The sequence below is a fragment of the Homo sapiens genome, chromosome 2 (assembly GCF_000001405.40).
Source record: "Homo sapiens chromosome 2, GRCh38.p14 Primary Assembly".
Classification (NCBI taxonomy): Eukaryota; Metazoa; Chordata; class Mammalia; order Primates; family Hominidae; genus Homo; species Homo sapiens.
This window is the reverse complement of record NC_000002.12, coordinates 88,788,393-88,809,420: the sequence shown is the minus strand read 5'-3', so window position 1 is coordinate 88,809,420 and position 21,028 is coordinate 88,788,393. Positions and strand designations below refer to the sequence as shown.

At 36.6% G+C, this 21,028-nt stretch overlaps 1 pseudogene across 1 annotated transcript in view; it reads right to left on the bottom strand.

Moving 5' to 3' along the window:
* Positions 1–2,824: 2,824 nt before the first annotated feature.
* Positions 2,825–21,028, bottom strand: part of ANKRD36BP2 (ankyrin repeat domain 36B pseudogene 2) — a 40,695-nt pseudogene continuing 22,491 nt past the window's right edge. Inside the window, exons 11-17 of the transcript NR_015424.1 lie at positions 20,907–20,979; positions 16,927–17,000; positions 8,116–8,322; positions 4,971–5,041; positions 4,541–4,634; positions 4,013–4,042; positions 2,825–3,098 (exon numbers count right to left, since the gene is read on the bottom strand). The product of NR_015424.1 is annotated as an ankyrin repeat domain 36B pseudogene 2 (transcript). The remainder of the gene's footprint in view (positions 3,099–4,012; positions 4,043–4,540; positions 4,635–4,970; positions 5,042–8,115; positions 8,323–16,926; positions 17,001–20,906; positions 20,980–21,028) is intronic.

Below are 21,028 nucleotides of genomic sequence, written 5' to 3'. Positions count from 1 at the left end.
GATATCCTACAACCATCTCCTGAGGCCCCAGCATGTGCTGGGCGCTGGGGCGCAGTACCTTGAAACACAGGGTCCCACCAGTCACACCAGATGCCCCACACTGAGCAAGCAGCTCTGACTGGCAGCTTTGTCCAGGACAGCCAGAGGCTCTGCTTTGGCCAATAACTGGGCTCTGATCTTTAAAAGATAGAGGAAAAAGCACAATAAAATGTTAAAATTTGAAAAACAAACAACATCCTAATCTCTGGGGTTTGCCGCAGAGAAACTGGCAGCCCTACTTCCCACCCCAGAAGGAATCTTCAGGGAAGCACATCTCAGTAATAACTAGATGCTGGACTTGAGAGTCAAAGGCCAGCTCCTGTTCAAAGGGAGGGACTATGAGGGAGCATTACCAGTTCCTCCCCCACATCTGCAGAGCTCAGATCCCAATTTGTGCTGCTAGATTCACTCAGTTGGATCTGGTCCTCCTTGGGACACCAGCAGGTGATAAGCTCCCTTGCTCCAGAGCCTCTCTCTCCCTCCATCAGTCATCTCCAGTGCTGCACGTGCCTCTGTCTAAGCCTGATTCCTGACACTGTGCCTACCCATCACCCTCCATCACTTCCTGGGCTGGGAGAAGGGTGTGATGTTTCCATGGTGATACTGGACCACCCCTGTGCAGAGGCTTAATCACCATAAATTTTACTGATTCAGTGGCCCAGGGCTTTGTGTATAGGTAGGAAATAGGATTGTAAACACCTCTATCTCCCATGTATGTTTGTGTTCTCAGAGAAGGAATGTTGAAACTAGTGGCAAAATACCTGGGGTGAGTCAAGGCCCCACATAGATGCCTCTTCTGTTCTAACTTACTTGTCAGGAGGGTCCAGGAAACACACTGATTTCTGAGTCCACATCTAGGATCTCCATCCCCTGAAGGGCCACACATCCAGCTCACTGGTTCCAACCCACCTTACTGAGTCCCACTGACCAGAGTCCACCCTCATTCCACCCCAGTTTCTGTGCCTTGGGCCACGCCTGTGGGAGATTCTAGCCAGGTGGAGTATCTCTGGCTTGTCTCCTCCCTGCCCTGCCTTGTCTCCTCCCTGCCCTGCCTTGCCTGCCACAGGCCCCGAGGAACTCCACCCTGCTCCCCAGTCCTCTCTTCCCAGCCTCATTCCTGCCTGGCCATCCTGAGCCCTGCTTAGCACAATGACAATGCTGCCTCCCTTGTTGGGTCACAGCCACTCCTCAGAGGCATCACGTCCTCATCTGACAGATGAGGAAAAGCCTAGATTTCACATCCAGAACACATTGCAATCAACACTTAGATCAAGGCTTCTTAAATGCCAACCTCTGTATTTCTCCACCTTTTCTTCCTCATCTCAGCCTTTAGCCATAAGACATTTTCAAAGGAGAGACCCAGTTTATCAGAACATGCAAAACATCATCCCAGGAACATTAACTGTCCCGGGGCATTCTGTCTTCTCAGGTGATTTGATAAATTAAATGTGTGGTTTTAAGTGTCTGAAACTTCTGTGACAGTCAGTGCCCTGGACACCCATTCCTGCCTTCTCCGTTGCTAGCACACACCTGAGATTGTACTATGCTTGGGCTCCCTGGCAGCCAGGGCTCAATTCTGGCCACTGAGAGAAAGCCAAGGTCTGCTCCAGGGCTAGGGTTGCTTTCCTGATATGGTTGTCAGATACAGCTGGCTGTCTTAGACTGACTTTCCGGGGACAGACTCTGAGACAGAGAGCCCTGTGCATACAGGAGGTTTACTCTGGAGGCTTTCAGGAGATGCACCTGGGACAGATGAGGGAGGCAGGATGGGGCAGTGGGAAAAGCTGGCTGACAATGAGGTTGCAACTGAGGCTGTGGCTGACACTGCAGGGAGCTCTGGAGCTGGTTGGCCCTGCAGCTGCCCTGCCTTGAGTCAAGTGGGCAGAGCCTTCGTCTCTCATGTCAGCCGGTAGTTCCCAGGCAGGGGTGAAGGCATCTGTAGCAGCTGCTCTCCCCAGCAGCTGTAGGGAATGCCTTGGCTTGAACAGGTAACCTGGGCAGGGTGCCACCACATCCACTACACTGCCACCTCCTCTTCCTGCCTTGGACAAGGACTTCATGGCCAAAGAGATGGCAAAAATAGAAGCCCAGATGCCAACAGCTGTTCGACCAACACCAGCCACCTCTTTGCTTGAACTTCATAAGAAGTCCAAGATGACAAAATCCATTCCCCACTATGCTCAGCTCACGATACATGCAGCCAAATGCACTGCAGCCTGGTAGAAGTGCGCTTTCCCACCTTCCACTTCCTCCAAAGGCCCACCAGGGCCTTCCCTCCAAAGCCTGGTCCTCCCTCAGGCCTGCAGAGAAGACGGAACTTCCCAAGCTCTTGTCTCAGGAGAGAATGTGGATTGTAGAAAGATTGTGGGTGTGAGTGGAGTGGGAAGTTATTTAGGTAATAAGATTTTCAGGCTCGGCGCAGTGGCTCACGCCTGTAATCTCAGCACTTTGGGTGGCCGAGGTGGGCAGATCACAAGGTCAGGAGATGGAGACCATCCTGGCTAACATGGAGAAACCCCATCTCTACTAAAAATACAAAAAAACTAGCTAGGCACCTGTAGTCACAGCTGCTCGGGGGGCTGAGGCAGAAGAACCGTGTGAACCCAGAAGGCAGAGCTTGCAGTGAGCCCAGATCGTGCCACTGCACACCAGCCTGGGCGACAGAGCCAGACTCTGTCTCAAAAAAAATAATAATAAAAAAATAAAAAGTTAAAGAGGCCAAGAAACATCATTTAAAACACAATATAAATTTTCATCAGACATAAAAGATACAAAAATATTTTCATTTAATAAACGTCTTTGCATGTCACATTTAATGGGAAACAAAATATCATGTTAATAGCCTAGTAATACAATTTTATTAAAGTCAGTATAAGTTGAAAAGTTTATCAGTGTTAATAAGAATGAAAAATATGTACAATATGCAATTACTATTAAATACAATTTGCCCATAGTTGCACATTGAATTCATTATCACGGCAGTTAAATATCAGAGCTTCTGGTTTCTCACTCTTCATTCATGTATTCAGCAACCATGTGCTAAGGTACTAGGACAAGCACTGGAATTACAAGATAAAGATGATATGGTCCACCCCTCAACAACTGTTTGCTATAATCTGAAAAAACAAACAGGCAATTCCCATACAGAGTCATACATACAGTGACAGGCATAAGACAGCACTTATTAGAAGACATAGAAGGGATACTAGCCCAGGTTTGTGTCAATATTGTAGGCTTTTTGGTAGAGGCAATTCATAGGTTGATATCTGAAAGGGAAGGAAAACACATGTAGGATAGAGGGAAGAAGTAAATGCAAAGAGCTGGAGGTGAAGACGATCACTGTGGAGCTCCATGTAGTCTAGTTTGGCTGGATGATAGAACAAAGGTGCAGAGTATGGTAAGTGGCGAAAGAGAAGGCTGAATAACCTGACAAGAACCACACTGATGTGAGAGTTTTGATTCCATGCTAAGGAATTTTCAACTTTTCCCAGGGGCAAAAGTAAACCAATGACAAAGTCATGACTAGAGATTTAAAATGTCACTGGACAAGTGACTGCTTGTGACCTGTAATTGCTTAACTAATTATTATCACATGAGTGTGGGGTCTGTTAGCCTTAAATCACTACCTTAACCTTGAGAAGTTGATGATGCCTTTGTTTTCTGAGAACAGTTTCAGTGTGCAGGCTGACAGTTCTATAGGGGTGGCAGAAGAAAAGTGTAGGGCCAGAAAAAAAGGGATACACAGACTTCTTGCAATTTTTTTAAAGCTATGGAACATGAAGAATTAACAAAGCATAAGTATACTCTTCACTATGAATGTTTATGTTTTCACATCTTTCACTAGATGTGTGTAAGAAAAAATATTTAATGTAGCATTTATTAACCAAACAATTGAGAGGAATACCGTTCACTACTTAGAGTTTATTTCAGAAATCAATGATTTGAATTTAATTCATAAATTTTGGCAACATACCTTCATCTAGCTCTTGAACACCTGTGGCATCTGAAATAAAGCAAATATTACTTATAATGTTTCAGTCAAACAAGAGACATTATCATGTAAACCCACTGTAAGTCAAGGAGCATCTGTATTGTAGATTGATCATCCCTAATCTAAAAATCTGAAATCCAAAATGCTCTACAATCTGAAACTTTTTGAGCACGGACATGACACCACAGCTGCAACGTTCCACACCTGACCTCATGTGACAGGCTCTGGTGAAAATAGTAAAAACTTTGTTACCTGCAAAAAATTACTGTAAAACATTGTAGAGAATTACCTTCAGGCTATGTGCATAAGGTATATATGAAACATAAATGAATTTCATGTTTAGACTCAGGTACCTTCCCCAAGATATTTCATTAGGTATATACAAATATTCCAAAATCTGAAAAAAATCTACTTTTGGTCCCAAGCATTTTGGACAAGGGATATTTAACCCATCCTACTGGAAAAATAAAATTCCTTTTCAGTATGACAGAAATTAAGAGATCAGCTTACCAAACTTGAACGCTGCAGGATTTTCTCAAGTCGCTCAATTTGGTCATCCTGTTTTTTAATAGTTTTTCTCATCATGGCATTTTCTACTTCAAGCCTAAAATGTGCATTTTAAAATAATTACTCTCACACATAATTTTTTTTATCATGTAAATTCTAAACAAACTTCTGAAGGTATAATTACACAAATTCTTAGCGATCACAAAAGTAGATGATTGGGCTACTGTGTCATTTTTCTAACTGTGTTTTGTCGATAATATGCAAAATTTAGGAATAATGTAGAAAAATGATGTATTTCAATACAGCTTACAAATGAAACTTTTTTGGCTTCACAAAGACATACTTATTATCATAACTGATACAATTTTCATACTACAGTGCTCTTTTGCTTTATAAATACTCAAGTTATTTTGTGCGCTGCTTCAAATTTTACTTTTGTGCGTCGCCTTCCATCCCCTTAGTACATCTTATAGTAGCTGTAAGTTGATCCTGTGTTTCTTGAAGCTAAAACAAAGAATTAAAAAAAATTACATTTAGAAATGACCTAAATGTCCATCAGTAGATGAATGAATCAACAAAATATATATAAAATATTTTAGACTATCACAATCTTTTTTATTTAAAAAAGGTCATAATGTAGGAGAAATCATCCCATTACCTGTTTTTTGTAATTAATTTTAGTGGGACACTGCTACACCCCTTCAATCTGCATATCGTTAATGGCTACTTTTGTGCTATAACTACAGGGCTGAGTTATTGCAACAAGGATCTTATGGTTCACAAAGCCTTAAATAATACTATCTGGCCCTTTACAGAAAGTTCACTGACCCCTGCTCTAGGACTGAAACACAACATTCTTCTTGCTTTTGAATTACATTTTATCAGTTACATACTCAAACTTACAAACTGGTAAAATGTGGAAAGATAAAGGATTACCTCATGCTAAGCATTTATATTTTGAATTCCAAACACTACCACATCAACTATAATGTTATTTTTTGTATGTATGCATTTAGTTTTATTATAGCAAAGCAACTTGCACATTTTTAAATATTTAAAACCAAGCGTCATCTTTCCTTTCTAGGGAAACAACAAGAAAATTTAAAAACAAGCAGGAACAAAATTAAAATCGACAAAGTCAGTTCCAAATAAGATCCTACAGGATCTTATTGACTCTCCCATTGAATAGCAGGACTCAAGTCATCATTAGGAGAGAAGTAATTTAAAAGCATCATCTTAAACTGCAAAGATGTCCATTAAACACGCCAAAGGAGAAGGCTTGTTGTCTAAATGCCCACTCAACCAACCCAAACATCTCAAACCCATCCTTTGCTGACCTTCTATAACCCCCATTTTAGTTTAGCTTTTTCTATAAATAAGAGAAAATAGATACATGTTGGCAAATGCTAACTGTCCATATTCATATAGAGACAGAGTGTGCTCTCTGAGCCCAATACAAAGAGAGTAAGGATTTTCATCGAAATAAAAATTTATTCAGTAAAATGGCCTTTCTGAACAAGTTAACCTGAAATCTATGAAATAAGTATACACACGTTCTTTATACATTCAGAAAAGTAGAGACTAAAAATAAGATAATTTTCTGAAACATTCCATTAGACATTATCCTCTGAATTAATCTGGCTTGCCTCACCATGCCAATAGAGAAATCATTAAAAATAGACTGTTTAACAGGAAAAAAAACTCTCTCAACTTATGTGAGAAATGATGCATAATTCTCAACTTTCCTAAGGTTAAATATTTAAGAAAAAAACATATGTATAAAAAACGGCAGAATGAAAGCCAGAGATTAAGGTATAGGTGGCATTATAATAAAATTGTAATAAAATTAATAATAAGGAAAATACAAAAGAAAGCCATCCACTATAAAATTTTAATAAAATTAATTATAATAAAAATACAAAAGAAAGCCATCCACTAAAATTAGTACCCCAAAACACTTTATATTAGTTAACCAGCTACAGATTAACAGTTGTTGGCGTGCAAAGTTGCATACATACTTGACTTCTCATCTGGTCTAATTTCTTCCTTGAATCCTGCATCTCATTTTCTAAATAGATGCAGTGACGCGATGAAGCATCCAGCAAAGCTTTTGTTGCTGATTGTTTGTTTAAGACATCATCTCATTTTTGTTAAAGCTGTCTCACAGCTACCTGATGTTATTTTTGTTACTGATTTTACAAATCACCTTATTATTAAACCATTAATAATATTTAACTCTAAAGCATACACTTTGAAAAATACCACCACACAGACCGATTCACCTTCTTTTCCTCATGTGTACACGTCCCTGTTCATTACTGAATCCAGTTAAGGATACAGAAGGTGTTATCTTCCTGCCAAACTGGTATTGTTATTCACATAGCATATTCAGCCCACTAGTCATTCCTCCCCTGATGAATCTGCAATGCTTAAAAACCTTCTGAAGTCTCAAAAAGAAATGAGTATGTGGGTGAGACTGATGGTGGTAAATTCTACATTGTGGAATGATTTCCCTCTTTTTTTTATTACAAACTCAAATCAACCTCAGAGTTCCTCACATTAAATCATCTGCTTAAATCCTTCCAATAGATGTCTATCTCAGAAGAAAAGTAAAACTCCAGTGGCCTTAGATGCTCTAAGTAACCTGCCCTCCACCTCCTGCCCTGACTCAGCTGCTGTATCTCTCCTCCCTGACTCACTCCATTCCTACTCTGCGTGAATCCTGCCACTCCTCATTAGTCTGAAATCCTCCTTAGTCTGAAAACGGGGATCCAGTGTCAAACTAATAAATCACAGATAGCTATGCCTCTCTTTGTCCTGGACAAAGTTATATCCAAATGATAGTAATTGAGCCTTGAAATAAAAATTATGAGCAAATTCTTTGTTTAAAAACTGAAAGTAAATTATAAATGCCAGTGGGAAGATAAAATCAAACATGATTTGGCTAAAATTTACTGCATTTTCCCCATATTATAATATAAGTAAAATTAGACGCCTTTAAAGAATAGAATGATCATATCTCTACATAATTTGAGATTGAAATAGTTTCAGATTTAAGTCAAATTGACATGAAGAAAAACAAAATTTTACCAACAAAGACATATTTCAAGCTACTGAAGAAAAGTAATTATGAAATAGGGAATACACTTCAGTTCATCTAGGAAATCTGAAATTAACTGTCAAAGTACCCCATTTAATTGAATCAATTTCAAAATACCATTTTAGGTATGAGCATTTCCATATATCTGATTTATCATGGTCTTAAAATGTTGCAACATAAATACATTAAAATTATTATTTCAGCAGTATAAGACTACATTATTAATATTAGTCTATATTAACATTTTATAACTTAAAATTTTATAAGTGACACATTGACTTTAATCAGAGGAAAGCATCTCTCAGTTCTAACTTTGACTTGCTGGAAAAAAGGAATGTTTCTAAGCTGATATAGCAGATATATTTATCATATGTATCTTTTTTATATTCAACTAGATCCAACATTCAGCTGTAACCAAATATTACTTTAAATTTTACTTCAGGAAGTTTGAAAAATACTTATTTTTCTTGATACTTACTTCTCTTTCTGCTTGCTTTTTTTCATATTGGCGTTCTTTTTCTTTCAAATGATTCAATTCATTTACCAACCTTTTACTGTCTTCTAGTAAAAGACGGCGCTTTCTGCACTCAGCTTGAAGGTTTTGTACTCTAGCATCACATCTGGCTTGAATATTAAGTATTGCCTTTTCTTGATTGTCAGCTTTGTTGCGAGCATCATCCAGTTGCTGTTGAAGCAACATATTTTGTTTTTTTAGTTGACAAAATCTTTCCTTTTAAGAGACAGCAGGAAAAGATACATAGGCAGAGCACAGAGGATTTTTAGGGAAGTCAAAATAATTTATATAACATGGATACACATCATTGTACATTTGTCCAAATCCATACATGTACAGTACCAAGAGTGAACCCCAATGCAAATTATGGGCTTTGGGTGATTGTGATGTGTCAATTTAGGCTCATCTATCATAGCAACTACCACTATGGTGAAGGACACTGGTAATGAAGGAGGCTAAACATGTATTGGGTTGGGGGTATACAAAAAAATATCTGAACCTCCCTCTCAATTTTGACAGGAACATAAAACTGGTCTAAAAAATAAAAGTCTTTATAATAAATTCTAAATGAAACTTTAGTAAATTGTATCCAATGGTATAATAAAAAGGTAATACATCATAAACAAATGGGGTTTATTCCAGAAATGGAAGGTTGGCTTAACATTGAAACATCATCATTATTTACCATAAAACGAACTAAAAGAGAAGACCCATAGGATCATCCCAACAGATACAGGCACCTGATAAAATTTACTCCTGATGTTTCAAAGAAGAAATACTCTCAGCAACATAAGAATCCAAGGGAAGTTCTTCAGCATGATAAACAATGTCTATGATGAATCTACAGCTAACGTGCATCATAGTGAAAAACTGAATGCATTTCCCATAAGATGAGGAAGAACATGGGAATGTCTGCTTTCACTACTTGTTTGTAGCATTGTTCTGAAGATTCTAGTTAATGCAGTCAGGCAAGAAAAAGAAATAAGAGGCATCCAAGTTTAAAAAAAGAAATAAAATTGTCTTTATACACAACCATGACCATACAATAGGTATGGGTAAACCCCAACCTGTGGGCCAGCTTCTTGTCTGATAAGCTTTTATTGGAACACAGCTGTGTTCATTAATTTATGGATGATCTATGGCTGCTCTCATCCTAAAATGGCAGAGTTTATCAGCTGCAAAAGAGACCCTTTTGCCACAAGTCTAAAATATTCACTATCCTTAGTAAGAGGGTAGTTTGAGAAAGAAAGGTTTAACAACCTTTGGTCTATGAAGAAAATCTGATCAAATCTACCAACAATGTGCCAGAACTAACAAGTGAGTTTAACAAGATTGAAGGATCCAAATTCAATATAGAAAAATTAACTGTATTTCTATAGGCTAGCAATAAACAATCAAATGAAAATTTTAAAACTATCATTTTCTATAGTTTTATAAACATGTGTATTTGGATTAGCAATGCTCAACCTGTATAAAGAAAGTCAAATTCATCTACAGTAACTAAACTATCATTTACAACTTCATCAAAAATGAAATACAGATAAATCTGATAAAATATGAAAAGACCTATAAACGAAAAACTACAAAATACTACTGAGAAAAATTAAATATTACCTCTACAAAAGCAGACATATATTTTATTGAGGAGTAGATTTACTATTGTTAAGATGTCAATTCTCCCCAAATTAATCTATAAATATGACACAATCCCAACTTAATTTCTAACAAGCAAGCAGTCTTTATTTTATTGATAAGCTGATTCTAAAGTTCATGTGAAAATGCAAAGGATCTAGCATAGTCAAAACAGAACAAAGAACAAAGTTGGAGGATTCATTTCAAGAATTACTATAATTCAATAGTTACCAAAACAGTGTGCCATAGGTACAGGCTGAGTATCCCTTATTCAAAATGCTTCAGACTAGAAGTTTTTCAGATTTTGGATTTTGGAATATTTGCATATACATGATGAGATATCTTGGGGATAGGACCCAAGTCTAAACACAAAATACATTTATTTTTCATATTTACCTTATACACAAAGACTGAAGGTAATTTTAAACAATACTTTTAATAATTTGGGGCATGAAACAATGTTTGTATACACGAGGTCGGATATAGAATTTTTACACTGTGGTGTCTATGTTGGCAATCAAAAAGTTTGGGGTTTTAGAGCATTTCAGATTTGGGATATTTAAATTAGCAATGCTCAACCTGTATAAAGAAAGTCAAATACAGACAATCCCCAACTTAAGGTGGTTTGACTTATTGACTTTACAGTGGGTTTACTGAAGTATTAAATTGCTTTTGACTCAAACACTGGCTTTCCCACAATTTGGGGAGCATCTGCAAATTAATAAAATTCAATAGACAGTCCAGAAATAGATAACACATATGCAACCAGCCTATGACTGACAAAGGCAGGATGGCAATGCAGTGGAGAAAGGACAGCCTTTTCAACATGTGGTGCTGGAACAATTGGCTGTCCATATCCAAAAAGTGAACATGAATCCATACCTCACCTCACTCCATATACAAAAGGAAACTCAAAATGGAGCACAGATTTAAATGTAAGATCCAAATCTGTAAAATTTCTAGAACAAACATAGGAAAAATCTTTGTGACCTTGTGCTAAGCAAACATTTTTTACATATGACACAAAATGCATAATCTGTAATTCAACAATTAAATTGGACTTCATTACGATTAAAATCTTCTGCTCTTCAAAAGATACTACAAAGCAAGTGAAAAGTCAACCCAAAAACTGGAGAAAATGCCCTTGTAAAAAAGTAGCTAAAAAGTAATAGTATCCAAATACATACAGAATTATTAAAACTCAACAAGTAAGAAAACATCAACCTACTTTTTTAAATGGCAAAAGATTTGAAAAGACAGTTCAACAAAGAAGATGTACAGATGGCAAATAAACACATGGAAAGATGCTCAACATTTTAGTCATTAGGATCGTGTACATTAAACCCATAATAATATACATAATACACCCATCAGAGTGACTAAAATTTAAAAAAATAAATACAGCAGTAGTGTGACAACATAGCAACTGGAATGGTCATTTACTACTGATGAGAATAGAAAATAGTACAAATATTTTGGAAAACCATTTAGCAGCTTTTAAAAACAGGAACATAAAGGGCCATGAGGAGACGTTAGTGGGTGATGGATACATGTTGACTATCTCGATGGTGGTAATAGTTTCACATGTGTATACATCTGTTAAAACTTATCAAATGGTACCTTTTACATGTGTGCACTTTATCGCATATCAATTATACACACTAAAGCTACTGATTGTAGGAGCAAACACCTAAGGCACTGGCTGTGGCACAGAGAAGGGTATGCAATGATGCAATATAAAGCTCGAGGACTGAGATCCATACCTTATAGCAATAAATGGCAGCTGGGTTTTCAGCAAGCAGGTAACATGATCAGGTGTGATTGTTTACAACTATATAATTACGATTGCAGAACAGGCCGTGGTTTTGGAAGGTGGAATAGTAGGAAAGACAGTTAGAAGGTTATCACAGTATTTCAGGTGGGAGGAAATGGTAACCTGACCATGGATAAATGGGTAATGGCATAGAAGAGAAGCAGAGTAAACAAACACATTGGGCGTGCCATTCACACTGAGAAAAGTACAGTGAAATGATCATAGCTCTTTGGCTGAGAAGGTACAAGATACAGCTGTTTTCATTCTATTTTAACATAAGGCATATTTCTGAGATGAACATTCTTGTAACATATCAGTACTCTATGGTACAGTGCTAAGCAATGTGTGCATACATTGCTATAGGATTTTTAAAAAGCCTTATATTTATGCATTGGTCCTACCTTTGCACTTCATTTCATGTTGATCAATGAGTAATATGACTTTCTTACAATTAGAGCAAAGCGAGTCATCATCCTCTGAGGCTATTTGAGATGACTGAATTATGTCATCAAGGTCATCCCTAGAATGTATTTGGTTTTTCACCTACAAAATATATAACACTGTTTCAAAATGTCCCCAAAATATTTATAACATACACTAAATGTACAGAAGTGGGAATTACCCATCTGTTTATACAAGCACAAACACAGGTACTTGTTCTGTACTTCTTTTTTAAGCAATTTCCTTTATGTTGACTCTAGTTCAGAAGACCACATGGTCTATGGATAAATTAGTTTCCCAGTTCCTATGCCATTTAGAAAACTGACAGAGAGACTTGGGTTAATTGAGGAACAAAGATTAAGAGAATGTCTTCCTGAGCTTGAATTATTTTAATTGCAAAAACAATCTATTTACACGTACAATTATGTATTTAGATAACCCCATTTTACACAAGAGATTTTCATAAGTAAAAAATTCAAATGGATCAAATAATGGGTGAAGAGAAAAAACAGAGTAGCAGCAAGTGACCGTCTAAGTCTTTTTGAAGTTGAACTTTCTCCAAAGCCAGGAACTCTACTTTACTTGTAATATGCTTACCTCATTCTTAAATCTTTGCATATATCACTTAATTCCACTTCTAGACATACTGCTGATGTTCTGTCACCAAGTGGTGGAGAATAATGCACATTTTCTAATTCATGTTTTATGCTTTCATACTTATTTGCACTACAGTTGTCATATAACAGCTTCTGGAACACATTCTGTATTGGTTTTGTACTGTTGTGTTTGTAACAACAGAAACACCATAATCTTTTTTTTTTTTAATTACATGCTTCATTTCTTTGGAGCAGTTAAGCCACATATCTAAAAGGTTTTTTGAATCACTAAATTGAGGCATATGTCCTATGTTTAATTTCCAATTCGTGGTGTTTTGGTTTTTTGTCATTTGCCTAACAACCTATTGGTCTTCTTTTATTTCAACCATAACTACTTCTGGGTTTCTTGCTTTCATACTTTCTGTATCATTACAAAAATTTTCCTTGTCTGGGTTAAAAACATGTTCAGTATCTGGTTTGTTGTCATTTTCACGGTCTACTTTATTTCTACTTAAATAAAGCTCAGAAGGTGACTGGCAAGCATATTCTGGGGACCCAGAGTATGAATGAGATAGAAAGGCATTTCTGAGACTGGGTTATTTTGTTCAGGAAATATCTGGACTACTACAGAGACAGACATGCCAGATGCATCACTTTCCTGACAATCAGGTGAATCATTTGTCAAATTAGAGGGTATTTACTTAAGTTTGTTCTTCCTGTAGAGCTATTATGTAGTTGCTCTTCCTCAATACAAGCAGTTTTGTAATTTTCACAAATTTCACCGAAACTCTGCTTTAACTTATTTGTGATGAATTTTAAAGTTTCTTTTTACCCTAATTTGTCTTGTTTGATCCACATTCTCTCATACTTTTGTGCACAAGTAAGTCCTGCATATATAAAGAGGTCCTTTCTATCACAACACTTTTTCACTACTAGTTGTTGAGACAATTTTTGCACATGCAAAAGTGGAAGATAAATTTGCTAGTTTTGTTTCTCAGATGTCTTTTCTGTCAGAGTACATGTTTTAAAAATAACTATCTTTAAATAATCAAGTGTCAAAAGAGAAAAATTAAAAAATAATTAAAGTTTAATATTAAACTTCTTAATCTATGTTTACCTACTCCCAAATCACTGGATTGTAACTAAGAAGTGAAAAATAATTTGCATTAGCCTAAAATAAGTGAAAAACATAAACCATGAAACTTTGATTTGTCACTGTTTGTTTGGACTAAACTTGACTAATTCATTATGTGTTAAATTTCCCAAAAATGAATTAGGAGATGACTTGTAGTACTATAAAGGCACTGTCACTTTAAAAGATTTTATCACTATATGTACAGTGTACACTTGAGTGCTTTTTCCAAAGATTACTAACTAATGATTAGGCAAACTTTAAATTATTAGGAGCCAAAATCAACACCAGTCAGTAAGAAAAGCAAATTCTTACATTTTAATGCAAATTACATAATGTAATATGATTGACAGTGTTATATATTTATATAGATTATAGGCTTAAGTTCTAAGGTCTACTAATGACAGTGGATTTAATCAATTTAACAATATTTATGGATTTTCTATATTGAAATACATTAGGCAGTTATTTTTATTATTATTATACTTTAAGTTTTAGGGTACATGTGCACAATGTGCAGGTTTGTTACATATGTATACATGTGCCATGTTGGTGTGCTGCACCCATTAACTCGTCATTTAGCATTAGGTATATCTCCTAATGCTATCCCTCCCCCCTCCCCCAACCCCACAACAGGCCCCGGAGTGTGATGTTTCCCTTCCTGTGTCCATGTGTTCTCATTGTTCAATTCCCACCTATGAGTGAGAACATGCGGTGTTTGGTTTTTTGTCCTTGCGATAGTTTGCTGAGAATGATGGTTTCCAGTTTCATCCATGTCCCTACAAAGGACATGAACTCATCATTTTTTATGGTTGCATAGTATTCCATGGTGTATATGTGCCACATTTTCTTAATCCAGTCTATCATTGTTGGACATTTGGGTTGGTTCCAAGTCTTTGTTATTGTGAATTGTGCTGCAATAAACATACGTGTGCATGTGTCTTTATAGCAGCATGATTTATAATACTTTGGGTATATACCCAGTAATGGGATGGCTGGGTCAAATGGTATTTCTAGTTCTAGATCCCTGAGGAATCACCACACTGACTTCCACAATGGTTGAACTAGTTTACAGTCCCACCAACAGTGTAAAAGTGTTCCTATTTCTCCACATCCTCTCCAGCACCTGTTGTTTCCTGACTTTTTAATGATTGCCATTCTAACTGGTGTGAGATGGTATCTCATTGTGGTTTTGATTTGCATTTCTCTGATGGCCAGTGATGATGAGCATTTTTTCATGTGTTTTTTGGCTGCATAAATGTCTTCTTTTGAGAAGTGTCTGTTCATATCCTTCACCCACTTTTTGATGGGGTTGTTTGTTTTTTCTTGTAAATTTGTTTGAGTTCATTGTAGATGCTGGATATTAGCCCTTTGTCAGATGAGTAGGTTGCAAAAATTTTCTCCCATTTTGTAGGTTGCCTGTTTACTCTGATGGTAGTTTCTTTTGTTGTGCAGAAGCTCTTTAGTTTAATTAGATCCCATTTGTCAATTTTGGCTTTTGTTGCCATTGCTTTTGGTGTTTTAGACATGAAGTCCTTGCCCATGCCTATGTCCTGAATGGTAATGCCTAGGTTTTCTTCTAGGGTTTTTATAGTTTCAGGTCTAACATTTAAGTCTTTAATCCATCTTGAATTAATTTTTGTATAAGGTGTAAGGAAGGGATCCAGTTTCAGCTTTCTACATATGGCTAGCCAGTTTTCCCAGCACCATTTATTAAATAAGGAATCCTTTCCCCATTGCTTGTTTTTGTCAGGTTTGCCAAAGATCAGATGGTTGTAGATATGCGGCATTATTTCTGAGGGCTCTGTTCTGTTCCATTGATCTATATCTCTGTTTTGGTACCAGTACCATGCTGTTTTGGTTATTGTAGCCTTGTAGTATAGTTTGAAGTCAGGTAGCATGATGCCTCCGGCTTTGTTCTTTTGGCTTAGGATTGACTTGGTGATGCAGGCTCTTTTTTGGTTCCATATGAACTTTAAAGTAGTTTTTTCCAATTCTGTGAAGAAAGTCATTGGTATCTTGATGGGGATGGCATTGAATCTATAAATTACCTTGGGCAGTATGGCCATTTTCACGATATTGATTCTTCCTACCCATGAGCATGGACTGTTCTTCCATTTGTTTGTATCCTCTTTTATTTCACTGAGCAGTGGTTTGTAGTTCTCCTTGAAGAGGTCCTTCACATCCCTTGTAAGTTGGATTCCTAGGTATTTTATTTTCCTTGAAGTGATTGTGAATGGGAGTTCGCTAATGATTTGGCTCTCTGTTTGTCTGTTATTGGTGTATAAGAATGCTTGTGATTTTTTTACATTGATTTTGTATCCTGAGACTTTGCTGAAGTTGCTTATCAGCTTAAGGAGATTTTGGGCTGAGACAATGGGGTTTTCTAGATATACAATCATGTCATCTGCAAACAGGGACAATTTGACTTCCTCTTTTCCTAATTGAATACCCTTTATTTCCTTCTCCTGCCTAACTGCCCTGGCCAGAACTTCCAACACCATGTTGAATAGGAGTGGTGAGAGAGGGCATCCCTGTCTTGTGCCCATTTTCAAAGGGAATGCTTCCAGTTTTTGTATATTAGGCAGTTATTGTTTGTACGCTAATACCAAAGGTGCCATTCTGCAAGGTATAATTCTCTTGATAGCCAGTTGGGTTGATTTTATGACCCATTCTCTCCCTGAACATAGAAACTGAAGTCAGAGATCAAAAGGGAAAATAAATTCTTAACCTTGGTATTAGTGACTGGCAATAAAAAAACTGCAAAGTTTGAACCACTAGCAATAATTACTCCTTTAATCTGAATCCAATACGGTGGTCATCACTGTTAAATTGTTCATAATTTCTATTGCTTAAAGTTGTAATTCAATATTTGATGTTACCTTCTTTATTATAATAGGAAGTTATAAAAATAGAAGTGCAAACAATATCAGGAAATTTTTAACTCAATTCCAAGGGTAAAGATTAGATATAAGTTGCTATAGATTCCAACATTATTTTAAGTTTTATAACTAGTTAAGTGTTTTTAAAGTGAAATATTAAATTATAATCAACTGATACTAAAAGGCTAATCCAAAGGTAAATTCATTTCAAATATGCTGTATTACCAAAGCAAGGAAAACAAGATTAAACCAGAAATTTGATTTTAAATTTTTACATACCTGTGGCTGGTTATTTTCATATTCTTCAAGCCTCTTTTGCTCTCCCTCTGATGCCATTTCTAAGTCTTGTTCTTCTAAAAAAAATTATATATTTAGTTAAAATGAGCTACACAGAACAGTTAGATAAAAGCCATGGTCAGCCAGGCGCGGTGGCTCACGCCTGTGATCCCAGCACTTTGAGAGGCCGAGGCGGGCGGATCACGAGGTCAGGAGATCGAGACCATCCTGGCTAACAAGGTGAAACCCCGTCTCTACTAAAAAATACAAAAAATTAGCTGGGCCTGGTGGCGGGCGCCTATAGTCCCAGCTACTCGGGAGGCTGAGGCAGGAGAATGGTGTGAACCCGGGAGGTGGAGCTTGCAGTGAGCCGAGATCTCACCACTGCACCTCCAGCCTGGGCGGCAGAGCGAGACTCCGTCTCAAAAAAAAAAAAAGCCATAGTCTTTCTAAAACCAGAAAATAAAAGTGTTTAAACGAAGCTTAATCTTTAGTATAATATTTACTTCTTTAAGAAATGCTTTTAATCCTCCAAAACTTCAGCAAACCATTTGGGGAGGCACTAGATGTCACCAGGTTCAAGCCATGCAAATATGGTCAAAGATTCACTCATAAATTCATCCACCCAACATCAATGAACAAAACCATCGGAAATAAAACAAAATGTAAAAATCCAATAGAAACAGAAAAAGTAACAGCACACTGTTCTTTACTTCACAATAGTACCTTTATAACAGCACATTGAGCCTGCTGTTCATTATTAATCATTTCCAAAATGACTGCTACTGTTTACATTTTCATCAATGTGCAGTCTCTTCTTTATATCTAAAATATTTTCAACTATTCTGACAAATTTCTTTCATAATTTAAGACTCAGACAGCTATGTGAAGTCTTCCTTGATTCTGGCTATCTTTCCTCAGATAAACGGGTTTATTTAATACAGGTTTTATAAAATATGTATTTAAGGTTTCAGAAGTGAGGTTATGTCTCAACTAACTATAACTAAAATAGAAGAGTGTGTCTATTCCAATGTAAACATGTTGACTGATAATAAGAAAAATGATCCTTATAAAGAATAGCAAATCATGATCCTGAGAGAGTAAGTGTCAAAGCTGATGGGAGGATGCTATGGCCTATCTTTAATGCAATACTTCAGATCCAATTACACCATTATACTACAAGCATTTATCATGTCCAACTATTTTTCCTATTATTTAGGAAGTACAAAGTTGTGAGGACACTTCCAATAAATATATAATTTATTTCTCATCAGAGAAACTGTTTAAAATTAATCAGCTTAGATAGACAGTTGTAGAATAAAATTTAATAAAACTATTCATTTTTTTCATTCCTAGGTAGGCTACTGCTATGTCTACATTGCTTGTATCCTGCAGTTTGGCCCTGTCAAGAAGTTTCTGAATCCACTCATGCAAGAAGATATACAAACCACATCAAAAATAGTGTATAGGCTGGGTGTGGTGGCTCATGCCTGTAATCACAGCACTTTGGGAAGCTGAAGCAGGTGGATCACAAGGTCAGGAGTTCGAGACCAGCCTGACTAGCATGGTGAAACCCCATCTCTACTGAAAATACAAAAATTAGCCGGGCATGATGTCATGTGCCTATAATCCCAGCTACTCAGGAGGCTGAGGCAGGAGAATCGCTTTAACCCGGGAGGTGGAGGTTGCAGTGAGCCGAGATTGTGCCATTGCACTCCAGGCTGGGAGACAGAGTGAGACTCCATCTCAGAAAAAAAAAAAAGTGTATAATAAGCTTTCAGTGTGTAAATAATTGTCAAAAATGAAAAAATTAAATTTCCACAGACTTATTAATAACATTTTATACTTCAAAATCAGTGCAATGTTCACTGATTATTTTGGTTTTGTTATTCAAAGAATGAATGCTACAACTTTTTGTTTCTAAAATTAGTTTGATTTGATATACCATGCTAATCTCTAAGGCACTTTCATGGAAGTGTGATCTTATTTAAAAAATAGGTTTCTTAGTAAAATCAGTCAAAGTTTCTTAGTTCAAATAAATTTCATTTGATTAACTAATATCAGCACTTCTATATAGCTCTCATAAATTATTCCCACCACAAATAAAGAGGAAAACCTCTTAATTTAGCAGTAGTATCTTACATGTATAATTTCTATTTCCTAAATTTGTGTTCCTTTCCCTCTGGCTAGAAACATGCTCAGAAATAGTAGCAAAATGACACTGTTATGTTTCAAACTGCTATCAGATGGCAAACAGGTATATGGAAAGGTGCTCAACATCACTCATCATCACAGAAATGCAAATCAAAGCTACAATGAGGTATCTTCTCACCTCAATTAAAATGGCTTTTATCCAAATGGCAGGCATTAAGAAATGCTGGTGAGGATGTGGAGAAAGCGGAACCCTCGTACACCATTGGTGGCATTGTGAATTAGTACAGTCACTATGGAGAACAGTATAGAGTCCTCAAAAAATTAAAAATACAACTACCCACATGATCCAGCAATCCCATTGCTAGGTAACTACTCAACAGCAAGAAAATCAGTATTATAAAAGAGAAATCTGCCCGGACATGTTTATTGCAGCACTTTTCACAATAGCCATAATTTGGAATCAACCTAAATGTACATCAACAGAGAAATGGGTTCTAAAAATGTGATACATATACTGCTCAGCCATATGAAAGAATAAGATCCTCTCATTTGCAATGACATGGATGGAACAAGAGGACATTATGTCAAGTAAAATAATCCAGGCAAAGAAAGGAAGGCTTCACATGTTGTCAGTCCTTTGTGGGTGTGAGAAATTTAAAAAATAGAGCTCATGGAGATGAAGAGAAAAATCACCATTACCACAGTCTAGGAAGGGTGTGGGGGTGGTAGGAAATGAGGATGCTTAGTAAGTACAAACTACAGTTAGAAACAATGAATAAAATGTAGCATTTTATAGCACAAAAACATGACTACAGTCAGCAATAACTTGTTGTACATTTTAGCATTACTGAGGAAGTACAAATTAAAAGACAGCACAAAGAAATGGTTAATGCTTGAGGTGATGGATAACCCATTAACCATGATGTCATTATTACACATTGTATGCCTGTATCAAAATATCTTATTTACTCCATAAACATAAACACCTACAATTTACTCATTAAAATTAAAAACAAAAAAATAAAGTAACACACACACAGGCACAGAGTGTGCTAATCCGAACATCTGATTGGCTTAATATAATAAGCGTAACAAAATTGACCAAAACCAATAAAAGTTAAAACAAAACAAATATGTTACCAAATAAAACATTTCATTAGCTAAAAGCCATAATTTGAACTGACTTTTAAAGCAAAACAAATATTTTACAGTATCAAAATTGATCTCTTTAAATCGCTAAAAACTATTGAAATTCCAAATTGGAAACTTCAGAGTATCAAAATGTGAAAGTAGAAACATCTGAATAAAACCTTATATTTTTAGGCCAGGCACGGTGGTTCACGCCTGTAATCCCAGCACTTTGGGAGGGCGAGGCGGGAGGATCACCTGAGGTCGGGAGTTCAAGACCAGCCTGACCAACATGGAGAAACCCTGTCTCTACTAAAAATACAAAATTAGCGAGACATGGTGGTGCATGCCTGTAATCCCAGCTACTCGGGAGGCTGAGGCAGGAGAATTGCTTGAACTAGGAAGGCGGAGGTTGCGGTGAGCTACAATTGAGCCATTGCACTCCAGCCTGGGCAACAAGAGCAAAGCTCTGTCTCCAAATAAAAAAAAAGAAAAAACTTTATGTTTTAAAAATATATTTTCCTTATGCATGTAAATCTCATTTTTGAAAACATAAATAAAAATTATAACAGCTGCATTATTTAGATGAAATCCTGAAATAAAATATAAAAAGTGAAATAATTGAGAATAGAAAGACTATGAGCATTACAAATAGATTAATGTACTTCTTTCCAGAGTTAAATCTACAATGCAAAGTTTACCTGGTGTGGATGTTTGTACATCCTTCATTTTGGTGGCTGTATTCAGAACAGAATCTTTATTTTCAACTGTAGCCTGAATGGGTTTTAAAACAAAATGATTAGCACATGATGCATATTGGTAT